Source organism: Homo sapiens, chromosome 9, assembly GCF_000001405.40.
Source record: "Homo sapiens chromosome 9, GRCh38.p14 Primary Assembly".
In the NCBI taxonomy this organism is placed as follows: Eukaryota; Metazoa; Chordata; class Mammalia; order Primates; family Hominidae; genus Homo; species Homo sapiens.
The window spans coordinates 39,812,548-39,836,287 of NC_000009.12; the positions used below are offsets into that span (position 1 = coordinate 39,812,548).

A 23,740-nucleotide genomic window follows, 5' to 3' on the forward strand; every position below is an offset into this window, starting at 1 on the left:
AGAATAGCTACTCTGTCTTTTTTTGTTCCCTCTCTTTCAGTCTATGTGTGTCTCTAAAGGTGAAGTGAGTCTCTTATAGGTGGCATATATTTGGTTCTTGTTTTACTATCCATTCAGCCACTCTGTGTCTTTTGTTTCACTAATTTGGTCCACTGATATTTAAAGTAACTATTGATAGGCATTTTGTAGTTTTTTTGTTCTTTTATTTCTCTCTTGCTGTGCATGATTTGATTACGTTGATTATTTTCTGTAGTGGTATACTTTGATTCTTTGCTGTGCCTTTGTATTAATTCTTTTTTAAACATGTGGTAAAATTCTCATTTGTGTATCTGTTACATGTTTTGTCTTTGTGTTTATCATGAGGCTTACATAAAACATTGTATGCTATCGTGTGCCACACAAGGATGTTTTGGTCAATGATGGGCCACATATACAACGGTGGTCCCATAAGGTTATAAGATTTTTATTGTACCTTTCATATGTTTAGATACATTAGATACACAAATGCTTATGATTGTATTACAGTTGCCTATAGCATTCAGTATAGTACAATGCTGTACAGATTTGTAGCCTGGAAACAATAGGTTATACCAAATAGCCCGGGTGTGTGTTAGGTGGTATTATCTAATTTTGTGTAAGTATACTCTATGATATTCACACCATGACAAAATTGCATTATTCAGGACATGTCCGCATTAAGAAATGCATGATTGTAGTTATAATGGTCTATTTTAAGTTGATAACAACTTAACTTCAATCATATACAAAAACCCTACACTTTACTCCCCTCCACTTATGTTTTTTGATGTCAGAGTTTCTTTCTTTGTATATTTTGTAATTATATTTATTTGTAGTATTTTTTGTCTTTTAACCTTTTAAAAGTTAAAGTGATTATACTCCATCATTACAGTATTAGGAGTATTTTGAATTTGACTGTACAGTTACTTTTACCAGTGACTTTTTATAACTACATATGGTTTCATGATACTAATTAGTCTTATTGCATTTCAGTTTGAGGAACTCCCTTTAGGGTTTCTTATAAAGCAGATCTAGTGACAGTGGACTCCCCTAGATTACTTTGGGGGGTTTCTGAAAAAGTCTGTAAGTCCTAGCCAGAGCAATTAGGTAAGAAAAAGAAATAAAAGGCATCCAAATTGGAAAAGAAGTGAAAGTGTCTCTATTTGAAGATGACATGATCTGTATAGAAGTGGAATAAAGAGTAGCTGACAACAATGCTGAAATAGTTACACATGAAGTTTTAATGAGCTATTTCATATTAAGATACATATTGAGAATTCAAACCAGAGAGTCCAGTTAATTGATATTTTCCCAACTCTGTTTTAGGGTGATCATAGAAATGATATCCACAAGTTAGTCACAGTGGCCTGCATCCATTTTGATATATCAGTGATGTATTTTGATTGGCCAGTGATCACCCATACTGACTGTTAAATATTTTTGTTATCACTCCTATGCATGGTGAATTTGAGTTCTGGTTTTCTTTAGCCTTGTGTTATTTATGTGTAAAGTTGGATTATGGAAGGCAAAGAATCTCTCGTGTGTCATTCACGCTCAAGTAAATGGCAGTGGGGTAGGGATGTAAATGAAACTGCGTGATAAGCCCTGCAAGTCATTCTGATGTATCAATTTTGCTTACTGGTGTTTAATTGCAGACATTGTCATATTAATGCAACCACTAATACATTATGGAGTAAGATGCAAAAATCACATGAGTCTTAAGAGAAAAGAAATGTGCTTTCTATGGTGGGCCCCTTTTGTATTATTCTCTAACTTCTTATTTTATACCTCTACTATTAGAGAAATTTCAGTAGAAAATCGTGAGGGGCACCGTTTTAGAGTTTTTGTTGTTATAGGTATGCTTTTACTACAGCTAGGTCCCCTTGTACATCTTTATGTTCTTTGGCAGTCTAGAGAACCAGAAGAGCAAACTCTATGAGATAGAAACTCTAAGAATTTATTTACCTCCAGCATCCCTTCTCTTCTTTCATTAAATTGAATTTGTGGCCAACTCAAAGACTGACAATTTATACTATGGTTTTTATGTTTTTATATTATAATTTATATTACGGCTTATGTCAAAATGTTTTGTTCACTGCTTTGAAAGTATCTTTTGTTTACTTTTGTTATTTCATATTTTAATTTTTTCCTTTCTAATTGTTAGAAACTCATGTATTTTATCTTTCAAAGAAAATTTTTTAAAAGGCTTACTCTGCTTATATGTATATTTTGCACAAAGCTTTCCATTCATAAACAAAAGGTGAATAGGAATCAGAATTGAAAACTACGTAATTTCTTTTCTCCTTTTGAGTCAAATCATCACAGTATAGATTAGTCATTGTGTATGAAGTGCATTGCCAATACATAGTCACATTTGTGTAGAAATGTAAAGGCTATATCTCAATACAAATCAAAAACCAAAAAATGCAGAAGACCATTAGCTAATAATACTAATAATCTAGTATAGAAAGCATGTGCCAACTGATCTAGACTCTTGTGACAGTTGTATATCTACCCAGCTGCATGACCTGAGGTGTATCAAAATCTTGATTTCCTAGACTACAAATGAGTAAAAGGGATGGAGGCCCCTTACAGTTTTAAGATTCTAGAATTCTAAGTGTGTGTAACTAGAGCAAATTTTATTTTCTAAAATTTGCATAATAAATTTAAAAATAGGAGAAAAACAAATAATTAAAGTACATATTTCTAGAAATCTTTTTTAGGTGACTTATACTACCAGGAATGGATTTACCACTAAATATTGGTTTTGCCTAATTCAGCATTGCTATGTAATTTGATGGAAGTATAACTCCATAGACAAAGAGATTTGGTCCTAACATAGCTTGTATTTTATATGTATATACACTATTTCTATTTAAATTTCTGTGTAGTCATGTTTTACCCTTTTAAAATGAAGATTAGTTTTATTATGTATTTTCTTTTGTCTATAAACATTCAATGAATTCACACTGAAAACTGATTATGAACAGATAGTCTGCTAGGCACTAAGGAAACACATACGAAAAACTAAGTCCTCCTCTGCCCTCAATATGCTCACAAGACTACAGTTACTGAAGCCTGACCTCAAAACCTAGCTAGCAAAGTCCTTGAATCAGGTGATAGTTCAGAATACCATTCGTGCTCTCTCCCAAGAGTATATCTGAGGAAGGGCAGTTCTTTCTAGTTTTCTACATCCTGGTCGTATAGGTCAACCACAGGAAAATTAAATGAATCTATTGTTTTGGTGACCTAGCCTTTTCATATAACTCTCATCTATAAATGTATTACCAAATACTATTTATGTAAAGGGACTTGTATGACAAATATTTTGAAATTAAAACCACAATGGTTAGCATAGCTTTTAAATTAGATAGATGTTGACCTCCCATTGGTAAACATATAAAGTGCTACCAAGATCTGCCAATGACAGACTTTGGAAGTGGAAATTCATCTTTGTAATAATCCTGTTATCTGTAGGCTGACCTCAAACCTTCATAACATTCAGGGCCCCTTATTCCTAACTGTATCTTCTATTTTGGGCATTGTGCTCTTGCCATCTAACAGGAAAACAACTTTCAGTGCTGCCACCTTTTGAACAGGAGAGATTTCTAGAGATTAGAAAATTACTAAATTTAAATATACATAGTTTTAAAATATGATACTTTTCTACCCATGCATTCAAATATATTCTAACTTTAAAATCCTGTAAATACTTATATTTGTAATGATTTTACTTATATGATCCAATTAATTGGCAAGAATATGTGGTGAAAGATTTTTTACATGTTTGTATTGTTCTGTGTGAGACATCTATTGTAAGCATTGCTTCAGGCCCTCATTTTTGTCTGCCTTCCAGGATTTGCTGGCCCAAGTGCTGTGTGCTAGCTTAGTGTCAGTCACAAAGGGGAGGGAAACTTGCAGTTGAGCCAGACAGTTTTGTTATTCCTTTAAAATTAAAAGCATATGAAACAGATACAGCTTATTAAGGTTTTTTTTATAAATAACATAAACTTAAATAACAAAACAATAAGTTCAAAAACAACTTAATATAGAGTTTAATGCAGTAACCATAGGAAAAAAGCGTGATTATTTGTGGGAAGAACATTATTAAAAGCCATATTCCCAAATATGAATTATACAAAGATAGATTATGTTACTTGAAAAAAACTTAAAGATTTCTCAATTTTACTTTGAGGAATTATAAAATGTTATTTAGTGGCAAGTAAGATGAAGTACAGTATTATCATCAATCACTGTTGCTATCTTATATACAAGATTTTTGGAAACATCCTTTTAGCAATACCCTTTCCACTTGAGCAGCATTAGAAATTTTGTTCTTGTTAATAGGTATAAGCATGTTCTAATCCTGTACTTTTGTTAAATTATCTATTTTATTGACTTTCATAATAGATTTTTTTGAGAATATTCTTTTTTTCTGATTAGAGTTTAAGTAGATTATAATTTTTCACTAGAAAGCATTTAAAATGCTGCTCATTTTCCATAGTTAGTGTGGCTTGATTATCTGACAAATCCTGCCAGCAGCCTGTAGGTCTGATATACCTTATATAACATCATCTGCATTATTATTATTATAGCAGCCATTTTATAAGCAGATAGGAATATTTAAATAATCATTATCAGATAATCAAATCTAACATACTCTTAAGGGTAAATTAATTTAAGAAAAAAATTACTATTACTAACATCATGATTGTACAACCAGTTTTACAATTTTGTACAACCTTTAGTTACTAAATCTGATTTTTGTGTATACTTTTCAAATGTCTCTTTAATGCAGTGTCTTAAAACAAACATAAATGCGCAAGTCCAGCTTGATCAGTTTTTCAGTAGTTTTCCAGCCTTTCTTGATTACTAGAAAATAAAAGGAAAGAAAATTTTGAGAAGAAAGAAAACAGTCCACTTAAAGAAATCTCCCTGCTGGAACTGGTTCTTTATATACCATATGCAATTAAGTTATTGCCATAGGAAGAAAGTGGGCTGTTTTTTGTTCTTTCTTTGTTTTTTTTCCTCTTACAGGAATCCCCTTTTGATTTAAGGCCACAAACATTTCCCCTCCGTTGTTTGTCCATTTAGCTGCTGCATATGTGTTGTAATGGTTTTCCAGAATTAGATCTTTGAAGTTACAATCTTCATTGCATTCCTTCTGTTGAAACAAACAAACAAACAAACAAACAAACATGATCCAAATGATTTTGAGAGAGGCTCAATTAAACGAAGAGTAAGCAGGTAATATTTGGTAGAATTGAAACATACACAACTTTTTTTAACCCTCAGATTGAGCAGGCCTAATGTGGTTTATTAGCTAGACTTATGTAGTATATTTGCATTAAAAGGTATCTTAAATTTGAAATAGAAACACCACATAATACACAGCTAGTTATGAAATATGTGTAGCTTTTTGGAAGTTCATGTCAACTATTCTTTAAAATTAGGACCTATTTCCCCCTAAGTAACAGGCCTCATATTACTATTCCCACATCACTCATTCTTTAACCACTGGAAATTTGCTATAATTAGCAGAACCTCTGCCTCCCTCAGGTGAGAGACTTGTTTCACAACTTTTCTTTATTTACTTCTACATTGTCTTCAATGGTAATGGAAGATAAAAGGTTAATTTGTTTGTTCATCCATGCAACCATTTGTTCATTCAGTTAAACCTGTATCATTATACAATTAGCCTGTTCCAGGCATTATGCTGAGCTGTGGGAATATAAAGGAAAGCCAATTATATTTTATTACAGTGAGATGAACTGTTACATATTTTGCATTGTAGTGAAGTGGGAACAATGTGAATAATTACAGTTCAAAGCCCATGATTGTCAGATTGATATTGATGAATGAACTAAACATTTCAAGATTTTTTCCCAAGAATTCTCATGTCAGCAATGTGCAAATTGAGTGAACTTTAACAAAAAGAGCTTTAATACTGGCAAATGGAAATTTTGGATTTTAAATATCTAAAATGCACATGGAATTTTAGAGCTGGCAGGATCCTTAGAGGTCAGCTAATTCAACTCATTTTACAGATGAAGAAACCAAAATCCAAAGAACAAGCCATTTGTCCAAAGTCACACAGAAAACATTTTTTCTTAATGTTTGAGTATAAAGTGTTTTAATAAAATCATTAAATTATACAGTTGGAGATAAATTAAGTCCATTTTTACTTTTCAGAATGGTGAGATATTTCAACAAAAGAGTTTTAAAAATTAAGCCTAAGCTATCAATTATCAATACCTTTGCATAGAGTTTTCCTTCCTCGTTCGTTGCAAGATAGAATTCACTTTCCACCCCTTTGATTGCCACAATCCCAACTGCTACTGTCCTGATTTCCATGATATCTGCAAGGAATCACAGAAAGACATGTCAAGTATTCGTTCAGCTTTGCAAATGATCCACGAATGGCCGTTTGTTCTTATTTCTGTTTTAATCGGAAGTTTTTAAAATTTTTAATGTGATTATTTACTCAGCCCAAGACCCCGACCCACAACAGATACACACAAACACCAGAATAGTCATTATATAAGGGAAGTGCAAACTGACGGTTTTTTATTTTGTAGAAAATATGTCTGTATCAAATAAATAGTTACATATTTGAGTTCAGCTTTTTATTCTCTAGAATTAAATTTCTAATTTACTATAATAATAATAGCTAATGTTTATTGAACTCATACCACATGCCAAGGATTATTGCATTGCTCTTATGTATTAACTCATTTACTCATAACCACAGATTGAGGCAGGTAGTCTTGTTATCCCAGTTTTACAGATCAGGAAACTGAAGCACAGAGAAACTAAGACATTTGTCCAAATTCTTATACCTGATAAGTAGCAGAACTGGAATTTGAACCCAGACATTCTGGCTCTTAATCATTATATAATTACTTTTCTATTTGGATAAACTTTATCTTAAAAATTATTGCCAACAGAATAGCTCTTGAATATACTGAAAGTGAAGAAAATTCTAATTAAAGTAATTGTAAATGATGGTAAACAGAGCCTACTGCCTTAAAAAAAAAAGATTGTTTTAAACTGATAGTATTTTGATACATGAAAAGACCATTTAAAACAAAATTATGAATCCTGTTTATATAATACTTCATAACTTTATATCTTTGTAATTAACTTTTAAATCTTTGTTGAAATAGTATTTACAAAACATGTTTACACAAGAATGATAACTTACTATTTTCCTTTATTATATATATCTTCCTTAAATCCTGTGTTTTAATGACACAATAAAGTAAAATCTCAAGAAATTTATTAAAATGATGTAAAAATTTTAGTGTACTTTTATGCAATTTGCTATTAATTACATTTTCTACATGAAGGTACAGTCCTGAGACATTCTTTTACCTAAGTCTAACACAGTGCAAAGAAAAGTCGAAGTGTCAATTATCTGTGTGATTGGGCCTTCAAAAGCTATCTTCTAAAATATTGACTTAAAGAAAAAACTAATTGTTTTGCCCCATACCTTCACTTCATTCTCTTATTTATTTTTTTGACTTCATTTTTGCTACCTGGATAATAAAATTTCTATTCATGTCATTGGGATTTAATGTAGCCTAGCTAATATTTCTCATTTGCCTCACATATATGTTGCATACAGAAGCCCTTTTCCCAATATACTATACTTAACACTAGTCAGAGCTCGTCCAGTTGAGTTTCACAGCTACTCATCCAGAAATTGGGTTTTATTAAGAAAATGTAAATGAATGGATATTAATCTTTTTATATATTTATTAAGCATTATCACAACCCTACTGTGCATACAACCCTACTGTGGTTTTAGGACACAAATTAAGAAAAACAGCCCTGGTTTCTGACACCAGAAGTTAAAACCTAATAGAAAGAGCAGACACGTCCATATATTTTGAAGAATTTTGAAGAACACAGGCCTGAATAGGCCAGATAAAATTTTAATAATTGCTTACAAGCACATGAAGGATTATGATGTTGATGCATTCATGAAATGTTCAACAGGTCTTCACTGAGAGCCAATTTTATGCTAGGCTCAATTCACAGACAAGCCTTGCCCTTTTAGAGCACTCTATTTGGTAACTACAGCTTCATTGCATTAAAGGAAGCACAAAGGGAAATAACATGCAGAAGAATACTATTAGGTTAAATTTGTACGAATACAATGAAAAATACTGAAGAAGTTCATTGATTCAGCATATTTGCAATACCTCCAAAATGGAATGAATGTATCAGTTAGGTCGGTGCAAGAGTAATTGTGGCTTTTGCCATTACTTATATGACAAAAACTGTAATTACCTTTGCACCAAACTAATATTTAAAAGACATATGGAATAGTTGGTTTCTAAAGATCTTAGCATTGTAAAATATCATTAAAAAGTCAATATTTTCTTTTCCTTCAAGTCTCTTTACTCCTGCCATTCCTCCCTTTATTTAATATATTTTCTTTTAGATAAAAAGAGAATGCTGATGCACAAGCTTAGAGTGTCTTTCTTGATCAGTTATTAGGGACTAGAATCTGTAATGTTTGCTGGCTTTTCTTTTACAGAACAATTGTAAAACATAAATGTTGACTGATAGAGTTATTATTAATTATGATAGGCAGACATCTTCCCTTTTTGGTCCTGTCATGACAATAAGTTCATATTGTCCCACTCCCAAAACATTTTCCTCTATCCCCTGCCTGTCTATTACCCACTGTTTCTATACTGCACTTTACAAGAGGTGATGGCTGGATGTGGTAGCTCACACCTGTAATCCCAGCACTTTAGGAGGCCGAGTCAGGCAGATCACTTGAGGTCAGGAGTTCAATACTAACCTGGCCAACATGGCGAAACCCCGTTTCTACTAAAAATACAAAAAATTATCCGGGTGTGGTGGCGGGTGCCTGTAATCCCAGCTACTCAGGAGGCTGAGGCAGGAGAATTGCTTGAACCCAGAAGGCAGAGGCTGCAGTGAGCCAAAACGGTGCCACTGCCCTCTAGCCTAGGCAACAGAGTGAGACTCTGTCTCACCAAAAAAAAAAAAAAAAAATTAGTTGGGCATGGTGGTGAATTCCTATAATTCTAGCTACTTGAGAGGCTGAGGCAGGAGAATCACTTGAACTTGGGAGGCAGAGGTTGCAATGAGCCGAGGTCACACCACAGCACTCCACTCTGGGTGGAGTGAGGCTCTGTCTCAAAATAATAGTTAAATAAATAAATAAAAATAAGGTGGTGAACATTTTTAATCTTATCCCTCCACATATTAGGGTTAAGGATACCAAAAATTCTTCGTAAAGATTCTACATTTGGCTGAGATGAGAACAGACTTATATTCTTAATTGCTTGACATATTTAAAAAATACCATTCACACTGGGAAATCAACATATCTAAAAGACAATTGCTTGGGGAGAGCATTAAGCAGTGTTGGCAGAATCAGTACCTTATCGACCCTATTTTCTAGTCTATTTTGTTCCATGTCCTACGACCCTCTTTTATTCAAGAAAAGCTCAAGAATAAAGAAATTAACATTATCACTCTTTTGTTCAGTTGCAGTGTGGGGAGTGATGTTCCTTTCAATATGCACAAATATTTATAGAAGTGTTAAATATGGGCTGGGCGCAGTGGCTCACGCCTGTAATCCCAGCACGTTGGGAGGCCAACGCGGGCGGATCACCTGAGGTCAGGAGTTCAAGACCAGCCTGGCAAATATGGTGAAACCCCATCTCTACTAAAAATACAAAAATTAGCCAGGCATGATGGTGGGTGTCTGTAATCCCAGTTACTCAGGAGGCTGAGTCAGGAGAATCATTTGAACCTGGGAGGCGGAGGTTGCAGTGAGCCGAGATTTCACCATTGCACTCCAGCCTGGACAACAAGAGCTAGACTCTATCTCACCAAAAAAAAAAAAAAAAAAAAATTATTAACTATGAAATCCTACCCCTCCAAATCAGAAGCCACGAAGTTGCTCAGAAAACATAATAGAAAAATATGTAATATGCAGATATTAAGTTAGTTACCAATATAAGTTAATTATACTTGGTTTTTTTGTCTACAGTGTATCCGTTGCCTCATATAAAACAAATAGAAGAGGCTGTCTTTCTTTGTGGATTTCCATTTGTGCTTAAGAGAAGTTTGTTCACATAAATAGCACTCAGTAAATTTATTCCCAGAGATTTAAAGCATATTACATAGATGCATCCAATTGTTGACATAATGTCCATGATAACATAATGACAGAGTTCAAAAATATAAATGAAAAAGAGAGAGAGAATCAGCTCATGCAATAGAACATGAAAAACCAGGCAATATGTCAAGCACATTGACCATTTTGCCTTGTTAGCAATATTGTCAACAATAGCATAAATTTATTATTTAGGATGTCACCCTTACACACTAGAGACTATGCCCTAAATAGCTTCCCTATTTTTTATCGTCTGGTTCAATAATTCATGAATTTATCTAAACTTTTTGTCTGTTTATTATTTAAACCTGTGTCACACTTGGAATGAAAAGTGGGGAACTTTGATCTAAATTGCAATTACTTTTTAAAAAAATTCTCTAAAGTCTTTCAGAATTTTAGGTGTCCCTCTAATCTTGTATTTCAGAAGTTGATACTAATTCTTTTTTTAATTACCAATAGCTTTGTGATTTTAAAGTGCTTTAACTTTCCTGTTTGAAAAATTACTTTTTAGTGTCTCACTACACAGAATCCATGGCCACCAATCTCAGCATCATTAATATTTCTTTTTCCTGAAACTGTTAAAGCCTTATATTTAAAGTTTTGAAGGGGTATATATTAATATGGCTGTGCTAGCATGATAGCTAAATATTTTCAAGTTGCAAAAAAAAGTGGAGGCAGCGGTTTGATAGTTAGCCAGTCAGAACATTTAATCTTGTCCTTGATCAAATATACCCTCTTCGGCATGTTAAAACTAAGAACTAGTATCAACAAAGAAAAAAACATTTAAATTTAAATACATTTTATGATTTTCTGTCAAGCCTGGATTGTTGAGTGGGAAATCTTAACCATTATATATTTATATTATGTTTAAGGCTATAGATTCCATTCATTTTACATCACTAAAATACACCGACATATACATATATGCAAAAAATATATCAATATATCCAACATATACAAAAAACACTGAAAACACAACAATAGGAAAAAAAAACTAGTTAAAAAGTGGGCAAAATCTGGACACCTCACTAAAGATACACGAAGGGCAAATAAGCAGACGAAAAGATGCTCAATATCATAGATCATCAAGGAATTGCAACATGGATGCAGCCGGAGGCCATTATCCTAAGCAAATTAACACAGGAACAGAAAAATAACTACTGCATGTTTTCACTTATAACTGGGAGCTAAACACTGGGTACTTAGGGACATAAAGATGGCAACAACTGACACTGGGGACTACTGGCGGGGAGTAGATGAGGGAAGGGTTGAAAAACCATTAGGTACTATGGGCAGTACCTGGGTGATGGGAGCAATCATACCTCAAACCTCAGTATCACACAATATACCCAGGTAACAGACCTGCACATGAACCCCCTGAATCTAAAATAAAAGTTGAAATTATTTAAAAAGGAATTGCAAATTAAAACAACAACAATGAGATACCTCTATACAACTATTAGCATGACTAAACTCCAAAAAACTGACAGTGCTGTATGCTGGCAAGGATGCAAAGCAACCAAAACTCTTTCATTACTAGTGGGAACGCAAAATGGTGCAGTCACATGGGAAGACAGTTTGGCAGTTTCTTAAAAACTAAACATGCTATATAATCCAGCAGTCATGCCCCCAGGTATTTGCCCAATTGAATTGAAAACTTACGTTCACACAAAAACCTGAACATGACTATTTATAGAAGCTTTATTCATATCATCAAAAACCAGATGCAACCAACATATCCAATAGGTAAATGGATAAACAAACTATGGTACACTTATACATTGGAATATTATTTAGCAATAAAAAGGTATTGAGCTGTGAAGCCACAAAAAGACAAGGGGAACCTTAAGTACATATTGCTAAGTGAAAGAAACCAGTCTGAAAAAGCCACATACTGTATGATTCCAGCCATATGACATTCTGGCAAAGGCAAAACTTTAGAGGCGGTAAGATCAGTGGTTGCAAGGGCCTTGAGGAGAGCAGAAGAAGGATGAAAAGCTGAATCACAGGGGATTTTTAAATCAGTGAAACTATTCTGCGTAATACTGTAATAGTGGATAGACGATATACATTTGTCAGAACTCATAGAACTATACAAAGCAAAGCGGGGACGTTAGTATAAATTGATGGTATAAATAAATATTGGCTCATCTATTGTAATAAATGTGCCACATTAATGCAAGATATTTATAATGGAGGAACTGTGGGGGGAAATGGAGATTGTTTGTGGGACTCTATTATCCGCTCAATTTTTTTTTTTTTTTTTGAGACGGAGTCTCGCTCTGTCGCCCAGGCTGGAGTGCAGTGGCGCGATCTCGGCTCACTAAAAGCTCCGCCTCCCGGGTTCACGCCATTCTCCTGCCTCAGCCTCCCCAGCAGCTGGGACTACAGGCGCCCGCCTCCACGCTCAGCTAATTTTTTGTATTTTTAGTAGAGACGAGGTTTCACCGTGTTAGCCAGGATGGTCTCGATCTTCTGACCTCGTGATCCGCCCACCTCAGCCTCCCAAAGTCTGGGATTACAAGCGTGAGCCACCGCGCCCGGCCCTTTCTTTTATTTTAATAAAATAACTACCTAATTTATGACAGTAGGAAAGTAGGATCTGGTGTTCTCTGAGCTTCTTTGATTTGTGGGCAGGTGTCTGTTGCTGAATTTTAAAAGTTCTCAGCCATCCCTTTTTTCTTTTCACATTCTGGGTGAATGCAGTTTTCATAGAAGGTGCTAGATTTGTGCAACCCTAAAGATAGGTGACTCCTCTGACTCACAGATCCCTGGGAGCCTCTCCCGAACAGAGTTTCTTTATCCACACACCCCACTTCCCACACCCACTCTTCCACATAGGTGTTCTGGCCACCAGTAATCTCTGAAGGATGGAAGATGAAGAGACATGACTTTTACCTGAGTCTCTACTCCTCCCAAGAGAATGAATGTTCCTGGAAACTTAACCAACAGAAAATCAGGGGATATCAATATATGTAAGCACTCATTACTCATGTAATGGAGGCCTTGGCAAAATGTGACACGTAAATTTCTGCTCAGGGAGAGTAGAAAATAGGCACAGAGACTAGAGAGACTGGTAAAGAATGAAGCCTCAAAGGTGATTGAGTTGTGTTAAAGGAACGTCTTGATCAGGCTTTGCTTTATTTTTCTCTTGTGGAGTATGAAACTGGGTGTTACAATTAAATATATTTCTTGATTTCCTAAAATGTTATAGGCTGTTTCCAATTTTTGTTATTTTTGGAGTTTCTTAAATCGAAATTTGATTCAGGATAATTAAAAAATATAATGTTAATGTTAAGATGGAAGGTAGGTCAAAAGGCAATCATGTTAAACAAGAGGAGAATTGGAGATAAGACCTTGAACACGAAAGTATTCTTAAATTCTTGACTATTATGATACAGTTTGCATAAACAACTGAGATTTCTTCAGAAAACTATAGTGAAATGGGACACTACAAATCAAATATAAATTTAAAAATGAACACATTTATTCAATACATATCCATAGATTATTCTGGATTAAATGTACACATTTTAAGAATAAAGTTTTAAATTTGAAAATGAAAGACTGTTTCCCATCTAAACAGACCGTTGGCTTCAAGATACTTACAACTGTGTTAAATCATCTTCCATTGGTTATAGTTGATTATGGCATGGGCATCCCCAAATCTGGCTGACCCATACTACGTTTTTCCTAAATCTCTTTTTTCTTCTGTATCTTGCTAGGCTGCTGGTTCATCCTCCCAATTTCCTGTATTTAAAACCCCAGTGCCATGTTTGACCTTGTCCTTTCTCTTCTACTGTTCACATCTTCTGTCTCTCACATTCATTCCAACCTACACATCCCAGTGGCCTATTCCTATTTAAGCACCCAACCCCCTCTCTCCTGAATGAATGCAGAAAACTTTCTCATCTCTGGACTCATAGCACCACAGCTATTTTTACACATGACTGTCAGATGTGTGGAGTTCTTGAACCATAGTTCTGTGGTGTCATCATTCATTTTAAAAATTTTGATTGGCTCCCTATTACCTAGAAAATAAACTTTAGTATCCTTTGCTCAACATGTGAGGCCCTCCACAATCTAATTTCACACACTCCAAAACCTTATTTCTACCTACTCTCTTCCAAGGACCCTGAACCCCACATTCCAGGCAAATCCAGTCATTGAACACTTACATAGGCCATCAGAAGTCACTGCAAAACCAATCCGGTCTGACTCCTATGTTGTTTAGTGCTCTATCCCCTTTGTCTGAAATGGCTTTCCCTCCACCTCTATTTTTATTTACTGGCACCTTCCACAGCTTTCAACATTCAGTTTGTCATGAAGGCAGCTGTTATAGACTGGACTAGAAGACTGTGAACTGAATTGGTGGTTTCCAAATCAGTATCACACTTGATTCCCACCTCCAGAAATTTTGATAGAGGGGGCCTGGAGTAGAGCCAATGAGTCTTACACACACACACAGACACACACACACACACACACCCCAAAACAAACACACACTTACCCTAATGACTATCTAGGTGCCAGCCCTAGCCTAGACCAGGCTGGTGGAACATGCTGGATTAAAAACAACAGGACACTGAGAAAGTATTTGCTACACAGACATATGGGATTTGACCATGTGTTATTTACAGATAACCTAACTCATTGGAGTAAAACCTATCTTAAATTGGCATATGGTATAGGATATGTTGTAGCATTTTATTAGTGAACATTTGTAAGGTTTTATTTGTGAAAGCTAATAAGACTGCATTTGTGACCATCACAAGGAAAACAGATAAAACTGTATTTGTGACCATCTCAAGGAAGGTGTGTCCTATGCCATGCTCACCTGCCAAGCTGGCTGCAGTCCCTTCCTCTCCTGACTTCACTTTGCCCCTAAAGGTATCTCTGTTATTATACTCATGGCTTTCCATTTTCTAATACTGTGTACTGATCATTTCAACACATGCCTTATTCTCTAAACAGACTGAAAGATTCATTAAGTATCTGAAAAGCAAATGCTGATGAACTTGCCTAAAATAAAAAGCATGAACCATGCAAGTTTCTAACATAGATTGTAGCAGCCACCCCACATGACTGCAATCGCCTCCCCATTGATCTCCCGGCTGACACATTCTATGTATTTGTAACTCAGCAACCAGAGTGATCCTTTAAAAATTATCAGAGAGCACCACTCCTCTTAGTAAAGCACTACCCCACCCCAGTCACGTAGCTTTCTGATTCACAGGAGTAAAAGCCAAAGTCCTTATAATGGCCTAAAAATCGTACATAATCTGTTCCTTTTCAGATTTCATTCACTACCATCTTCCCCCTTCTCTCTCTGTTCCAGTTACAACAGCTTGCCCCCTCAAACACAACTAGTATGTTCCTGCCCCAGGGCCTTTGCACCTGCTTTTTCCTCTTAGAGCAACAAGTTTGCTCCAGATATCTGAAAAGCTGACTATCTCGCCACCTTCAGATGTGTGTTCTAATGTCTCTTTATCAATGAGAGCTTCTTTGTCCACCCTGGGCATCTTCTTGCCCTTCCTTGCTTTATTCTTCCCCATGGCACTTACTCACATTGGACACTAAACACTTGTTTCCTTAGCTAGGCATTCTTCTCCTACCCTCACAACAGTAGGAATGTCCTAAGGTTTTGAGAAGACTCCCGTGCTAGGTTTCCAGACTCCTGTCCTCTCACATTTGGTGCTCATGCACCTCTTGGTCATTAGTGCACTCCAGAGGTTAGGACCTAGAGTACGTGGCTGTCCTTCAGAGGAGGGAAAGGGATTGCTTGGGAGCAGAGAAGGGAGCTTTGGCCTCGCAGTGCAGGACCCCTGTGCCCACAGGCCTCTGTGTGTTGACAGCAATGCTCTTGGTGTCCACCTGCACTGCCCTCTGGTGTTCAGTCAAAATCAAGCAAATGGTTACGAACTGCTATAGGGGATTGTTACCAGGTCCTGAGTCTGTGTTGGAAACACAAACCCAGAAGCAAACAAATCTGCCCAACACCCCTGACACGTGGGTTTCACAGAAAATACTGAGGTCAGAGTAGCATGTTAAATGACACCACAGTGACAACACAATCATAAAAATCTACACTGTGGACTCTGTCCTAGTTTCTTTAATGAATTGCATGGAAAAAAAAAGATGGAAGGGGAAGAATAAGAATGAAGAATGCTTTAGAGACTCTGCAATCCATCGTAATATCCGTACAAGGATTCTGCTTTTTTAAAAAAAGAAAAATGGTGTGAAAAAATATGTAAGACTGGCCAGGCAGCGTGGCTCACACCTGTAATCCCAACACTTTGGGAGGCCGAGGTGGGTGGGTCACTTGAGGTCAGGAGATCAATCCTGGCCAAGCCTGACCAACATGCCAATATGGTGAAACCCCGTCTCTACTAAAAATACAAAAAGTTAACCAGGCATGGTGGTGGGCACCTGTAATCCCAGCTAATTGGAAGCTGAGGCAGAAGAATCGCTTGAGCCCAGGAGGTGGGGGTTGCAGTGAGCCGAGATCTTGCCACTGCACTCCAGCCTGGGTGACAGGGCGAGACTCTATCTCAAAAAAAAAAAAAAAAGTAAGACAATCAGGGAAATTGGAACAGCGACTGGATTTTGGTTAAAAGTAAGTAATTCTGGCTAATTTTTTAGATGTATTATTTTAAAAAGGGGATCCTTACCCTTTGGAGGTGGATACTAAAATATTCATGGATGAAATGATAGGATGCCAGAAATGCTCTTCAATTAATCTATGTCAGGGAAGTGGGATCAGAGGAATCAGGACTGTCTAAAACTGAAGCTGGGTATTAGGTCAATGAGTTAATTATACTATTCATTCATTATGCTATTTATTTCCTTTTGTATATTCTTTAAATTTTTCATAATAATAGTAATAAAGATATGTTGAACATGGTAAAGATGGAAAATGTACAGAGACAGAAGAAATATTCTTATTTTTTATTTCATACAATTCTATAGTTTCACATTTTGTTTTGTTTTACTGTATTTATGCATTAATTCTATAACTGTAAAACATGGTATTAATAATTAAACTGACCTTATGAAAATTTTTGGAGAGTGAAAACTTTGAAACTCATGTGCTAGGTACATCATTAAAATTTATCATTCAGGTGACACCTGATGACTCACATCTATAATCCCAGTAATTTGGGAGATGAAGATAGGAGGCTCCCTTAAGCCCAGGAGTTTGAGACCAGCCCTGGCTATATAGTGAGAGCCTGTTTCTACAAAAAAAAAAAATTATTTTTAATTAGCCAGGCATGGTGGCACTCACCTGTAGTTCCAGCTACTCAGGAGGCTAAGGTCAGAGGATAGCTTGAGCATGAAAGTTCAAGACTGTAGTGAGCCATGGTCATGCCACTGCACTCCAGCCTGGGCAACAGGGTAAAACCATGTCTTAATAAACAAACAAATAAATACATAAATACATAAATAAATAATAAAGTATTCCATTCAACATTTTTACCTTAGTAATGCTCAACATTTGGTTTCTACTTATTTCCTTTTATGTTGTATTTTCTAGACCAAATTCACATATAGTATAAAGCAGAAGAAACTAATGATTAAATTCATTGTTCGTAATTGTATTCAGTTTCCTATTTTCATCAACATTTGTTTACAAATTTTTTTTTTCTTTTTTGAGACAGAGTCTCGCTCTGTCACCCAGGCTGGAGTGCACTGGCGGGATAGCTCACTGAAAGCTCCGCCTCCCAGGTTCATGCCATTCTCCTGCCTCAGCCTCCGGAGTAGCTGGGACTACAGGTGCCCGCCACCATGCCTGGATAATTTTTTGTATTTTTAGTAGAGACGGGGTTTCACCGTGTTAGCCAGGATGGTCTCAATCTCCTGACCTCGTGATCTGCCCGCACCGGCCTCCCAAAGTGCTGGGATTACAGGTGTGAGCCACTGCCCCGGTCTGTTTAGAAATATTTTTAAAGAATTATTGCACTTCTGTTCGGATAGAAAAACAAAAATACATTTTAAGAATATATATTTATATGTATGAAAATATAAAATTTTGAAAAGTTGAATATTTCAAGCCAATTATGTAGATGTCCTTGTCCTTCCCTGAGCTGCTGACTCACGTTCCACGAAGCGGGATGGGTCTCACAGGGCCTGTCAGGATGCAGGCTGTGATGTGAAGGCCACTCGAATCTCACAGGATTGGACGGGTTTGTGAAGGAATTTGGAGCGAGCCTTAGTTAGCTCCTTAACATTTCCTTTGAGCAACATCAGTGCTTTTGACATTTTGCACTGCCGTATAAAACTGTAAGTGTATGCAGAGATGTATGTTTCTGAATAAATCACAAAATTGACAAGCAACTGCCATGCATTGTTTTTTGCATCATAGCTAACTGATAAAGTACAGACTGCAACATTTACTTATTCAAATACCTTTAAAGATCTGGTATTTTTTTGCTTCTACTTCCCAGGAATTTGACCTCAGGGACATTTTCTATTATTTCCATATCTATTGAAATGAACTCAAATCAAAAATGAGAATGTTTCATTATACATTTAAAATGTGAGTTTTCCCATTTAAAGTCACGCAAACTGAGGTTACTACGAAAAAGATTTAAAATTGTGCAGAATGAATCACTGAAAAATTAGTTTATTCTAAAGATCATATATTCAGAGTAAATATATTTAAATTTTATTCAGTTTCCTCTTTGTCAGCAAATTAGTGAATAACATTACTGATATCTTAGATGTTTGTGGACACAAAGAGAATAGAGGTAAAAATCATGACCCTCAAAGAGCTCAAAATCCTAAGATTTTTATGGGCAGCCCCAGAGGTATAAAATTCAAAAGGACATTACTTCTCCATTCCTGATTAGGTACGCAATGTTCTGGATTATTCATGGCTCTTGGATACTTGAGAGTAATAATGACAGTGACCTCTGAATTAACATAGTTCAACTTTTATAATAATTATGACCTTCAACCATGTGAAGTTTGTGGAGCACTGAGATTTCTTGGGGCAATTTTGTAACAGCTAATTCTTAACAGCAATGTTATTTCAGGCTTTTTGGACATTCCCTGTTACAACTGCTGATCTTTTATTCCTATAATGGTACAGAATTCTTTGAGAAAAATAAATTCATCTTTTCATTCATTTAAGGGAAAATTGTCAGCACGAGCCTATGGCTATAATGTTCTCCATCATTTAAAGAATAAAAGGAATAATCTGGTTGAAATTGAATTATCTAAGGTTACATATGGTTTTGATTCAATGGTTAACGTGCATTTTTAACAAGTGATATGGTTTGGCTGCAACATTTACTTATTCAAATACCTTTAAAGATTTTTTTTTTTTCTGCCTGTACTTCCCAGGAATTTGATGTCAGATGCATTTTCCATTATTTCCATATCTATTGAAATGAACTCAAATAAAAAAATGGGGATGTTTCATTACACACTTATTAATGTGTAATTTAAGATTAATGTGTAATCTTGTAATTCCCATAATCCTCATGTGTCAAGGGCGGGACCAGATGGACATGATTGAATCATAGAGGTGGTTTTCTCCATGCTGTTCTCGTGATAGTGAGTTCTCACAAGATCTGATGGTTTTATAAGGGGCTTCTTCCTTCACTCAAAACTCATTGTTTCTGCTGCCACCCTGTGAAGAGGTGCCTTCGGCCATGATTGTAAGTTTCCTGAGGCATTCCAAGCCATGTCAAACTATGAGTTAATTAAACTTCTTTTCTTTATAAATTACCCAGTCTTGAGTAGTTCTTCATAACAGCATGAAAACAGACTAATACAGTAAATTGGTACCACAGACATAGGGTGCTGTTATAAGGATACACTAAAATGTGGAAGTGACTTTGGAACTGGGCAACAGGCAGAGGTTGGAATAGTTTGGAGGGTTCAGAAGAAGACAGTAAAGGCTGGGTGTGGTGGCTCATCCCTGTAATCCCAGGACTTTGGGAGACCGAGGCAGGTGGATGACCTGAGGTCAGGAGTTTGAGACCAGCCTGGCCAACATGGTGAAACCCCATCTCTACTAAAAATATAAAATTAGCTGGGCATCGTGGTGCATGCCTGTAATCCCAGCTACTTGGGAGGCTGAGGAAGGAGAATGGCTTGAACATGGGAGGTGGAGGTTGCAGTGAGCAGAGATTGCACCACTGCATTCCAGCTTGGGCAACAAGAGCGAAACTCCATCTCAAAAAAAAAAAAAGAAGACAGAAGAATGTGGGAAAGTGTGGAACTTCCTAGAGACTTGGAGGGCTTGGAAGACAAGAAGATGTGGGAAAGCTTGGGACTTCCTAGAGACTTGAATGGCTTCTACCAAAATGCTGATAGTGACATGGAAAATGAAGTCCAGGCTGAGGTGGTCTCAGATGGAGATGGGGAACTTGTTGGGAACTCGGATAAAGATGATTTTTGATTCTCCTGCCTCAGCCTTCTGAGTAGCTGGGACTATAGGCACAGGCCACCACACTCGGCTAATTTTTGTATTTTTAATAGATACGGAGTTTCACCATGTTGTCCAGGATGGTCTCGATCTCCTGACCTCGTGTTCCACCTGCCTCGGCCTACCAAAGTGCTGGGATTACAGGCATGAGCCACCGCGCCTGGCCAAGTGAGGCGTTTTAAACAGCGCGTGGTTCCAAGTAATGGCTCAGAAAAGTTAGCTATTAGAATTGTAATGGTTGTTAGTGATGTTTGCCATTTTCTTTAAGAATTTCACACTTGTATCAAAAAACAGTATTAAAAAAACTATACAATCATTTAATATATAAAAAGGATAATTCTTTGTAGTTTAAGCCATAAAAGTTGCATCCAAACATAGATTTAAATAACCTCTTCTCCCCACCTTTAATAGTCTTTCAAAATATCGCATGTGCTTTTTATATTGTGAAAAGAAATAAATTAAATAGTCATACTTACATGATTAAAAGTTATTTTCATGTACTTCGGGAATTTGTTCATATTAGTTACACTTCAAGTTAATATTACATGTAATATTAAATGTACTTAATATTAAAAGTGCATTTAAAATACTTGAATGAAAATAAATTTTCATAATCAAATAAATCCCAGCACTGATTCAAGAAAATTATACCACCATGCTCATACTAAGAAGACACTGAATCAAAGCAGAAACACATGCCTTAATCGTTGATAAGTGAAGCCTTCAGTGAGTATCAAAAATAAAAGATAGCAAAAACAGAATAATTACTACACTAATCATAGATGATTGGCAAAGGTAAACATAACAAATTTCTAGTAAGGAGCTGCTTCAAAGAGTGATCTTTATGCGGGAAAACTCCAGCCTGGTGCCTTTGGGATCACTGATTTCCCTTGCTGGGAGTACTTGCGGTGAAACTAATAAAATCACTGAGGTGCCACAAGAAAAATAACATGGGAAGAAGCTGACCACCGAGTTACAGATTCATGGGAAAGACATCAGGAGGTCATTTCCCTCATTTCCTTGCCTTGAGATTAATACTCAAGTCATCAACGCTAAATAAATATTTCCTGAAAATAAAGCATTTCTAGGAAAAAAATAACTTTGAGAATCCTCATGTTGGTATAATTGAATCAAGGACAGATGTGACTAACTTCAGAAGTCTGTTGTTCTTCCTATATTCAGTCCAGCAAACTCTCAGCAAAGCCCCCAGTGTATGAAGAATATGAAAAAGGAGCTCTACTAGTAGAATTTGGGACTGAGAGTCCAGAGTTCTGATCTTTTGGCCTGTGCCTTCTAATGCCCTTTCACCCCACTTCATCTAAGGCAACCCTAGAAATTGTCAAAGAAAAACAGCAGTGCTGGATACTTGCTAAAGGCAATGAGACCTATTGTATTCAGACTATTTCAGCAGGAGGGAGAGACTTCAGTATAAACTAAGCTCAACTCCAAGTAAGACAAAGGAGGCTGATGTTTTTAAAAAGAGAACAAATGGGAAATAAAAAGAAACTATGGAAAAGTAAAAAGAGGGGAATTAAAAAAGGGACTGAGGACTACGTGAAAATGCAAATTATAAAAGGGGGTAAGAGCCTGGCACGGTGGCTCACGCCTGTAGTCCCAGCACTTTGGGAGGCAGAGGCGGGCAGATCACGAGGTCAGGAGATCGAGACCATCCTGGCTAACATGGTGAAACCCCGTTTCTACTAAAAACACACAAAAAGTTGGCCGGGCATGGTGGCGGGCGCCTGTAGTCCCGGCTACTCAGGAGGCTGAGGCAGGAGAATGGCGTGAACCTGGGAGGGGGAGCTTGCAGTGAGCTGAGATCACACCACTGCACTCCAGCCTGGGGGAGAGAGGGAGACTCCTTCTCAAAAAAAAAAAAAAAAAAAAAAAAGAGCGGGAGGTAAGTAGAGAATTACTGAAAATGATTTGACATCATCGGTTACGACAATATACATTATGTGGTTTGGTAGCATTGTATTTTCTTGAGCAAAGACTCAGCACAGGGCCTGGGGTTAACTACTCCAAGTGGCAGCCAGGCTAATGTTTGGTCAAGTCTCTTAGCACAGTGTTTAGGCAAATCTTTTTGGCTTCAGGGAAGTTCACAGTCCCTCCTCTTGTTCAAGAGAAAGAATGAATTTCTTTCTCATAGAATAAATATAGTTGTTGCACTCCAAAGTCCTCAAAAGAAAAAAGTTCAGCCATTGTTTATCACCGTTGTGCAATTCAGGAAGAGTCAAGGTGGTAAATGCAAGAATCGAGGTTTGGCGTATTATCAATGGCGGCACAATTGTCTCATAAGAATAGAGATGCACTTGGTGGGTCATGCCTGTAATCCCAACACTCTGGGAGGCTGAGGAGGGCGGATCACGAGGTCAAGAGATCGAGACCATCTTGGCCAACATGGTGAAACCTTGTCTGTACTAAAAATACAAAAATTAGCTGCGCATGGTGGCACGCGCCTGTAGTCCCAGCTACTCAGGAGGCTGAGGCAGGAGAATCGCTTGAACCGGGAGGGGGAGGTTGCAGTGAGTAGAGATAGTGCCATTGCACTCCAGCCTGGTGACAGAGTGAGACTCTATCTGAAAAAAAAAAAGAAGAAGAATAGAGGTGTACTTAAGAGACAAAGAATATTGCCATTAAGGATGTTTTTAAGAAGCCAAGTCCAAGATCAAAAAAGACAAAGGAGAGCATTACATAATGGTGTAAAGAGTTCAATTCAACAAGAAGATCTAACTATCCTAAATATATGTGCACCCAATACAGGAGCACCCAGATTCATAAAGCAAGTTCTTAGAGACTTACAAAGAGACATAGAGTCTCACACAATAACAGTGGGAGATTTCAACACTCCACTAACAGTTATTAGATAGATCACCAAGGCAGAAAATTAAAAAACATATTCAGGACCTGAACTCAGCATTAGATCAAATGTATCTGATTGACCTCTACAGAACTCTCCACTCAAAAACAACAGAATATACATTCTTCTCATCACCACATGGCACATACTCTAAAATCAGCCACATAATTGGACATAAAACAATGCTTAGCAAATGTAAAAGAACCGAATTCTTACCAAACACACTCTTGGACGACAGTGCAGTAAAAATAAAAGTTGAGACTAA

At 36.6% G+C, this 23,740-nt stretch overlaps 1 pseudogene across 1 annotated transcript in view; it reads right to left on the reverse strand.

Annotated features, from left to right (window-relative positions):
• Positions 1-1,236: 1,236 nt before the first annotated feature.
• Positions 1,237-23,740, reverse strand: part of FGF7P3 (fibroblast growth factor 7 pseudogene 3) — a 60,783-nt pseudogene continuing 38,279 nt past the window's right edge. The window contains exons 2-3 of the transcript NR_003670.1: positions 6,274-6,377; positions 1,237-5,182 (exon numbers count right to left, since the gene is read on the reverse strand). The product of NR_003670.1 is annotated as a fibroblast growth factor 7 pseudogene 3 (transcript). The remainder of the gene's footprint in view (positions 5,183-6,273; positions 6,378-23,740) is intronic.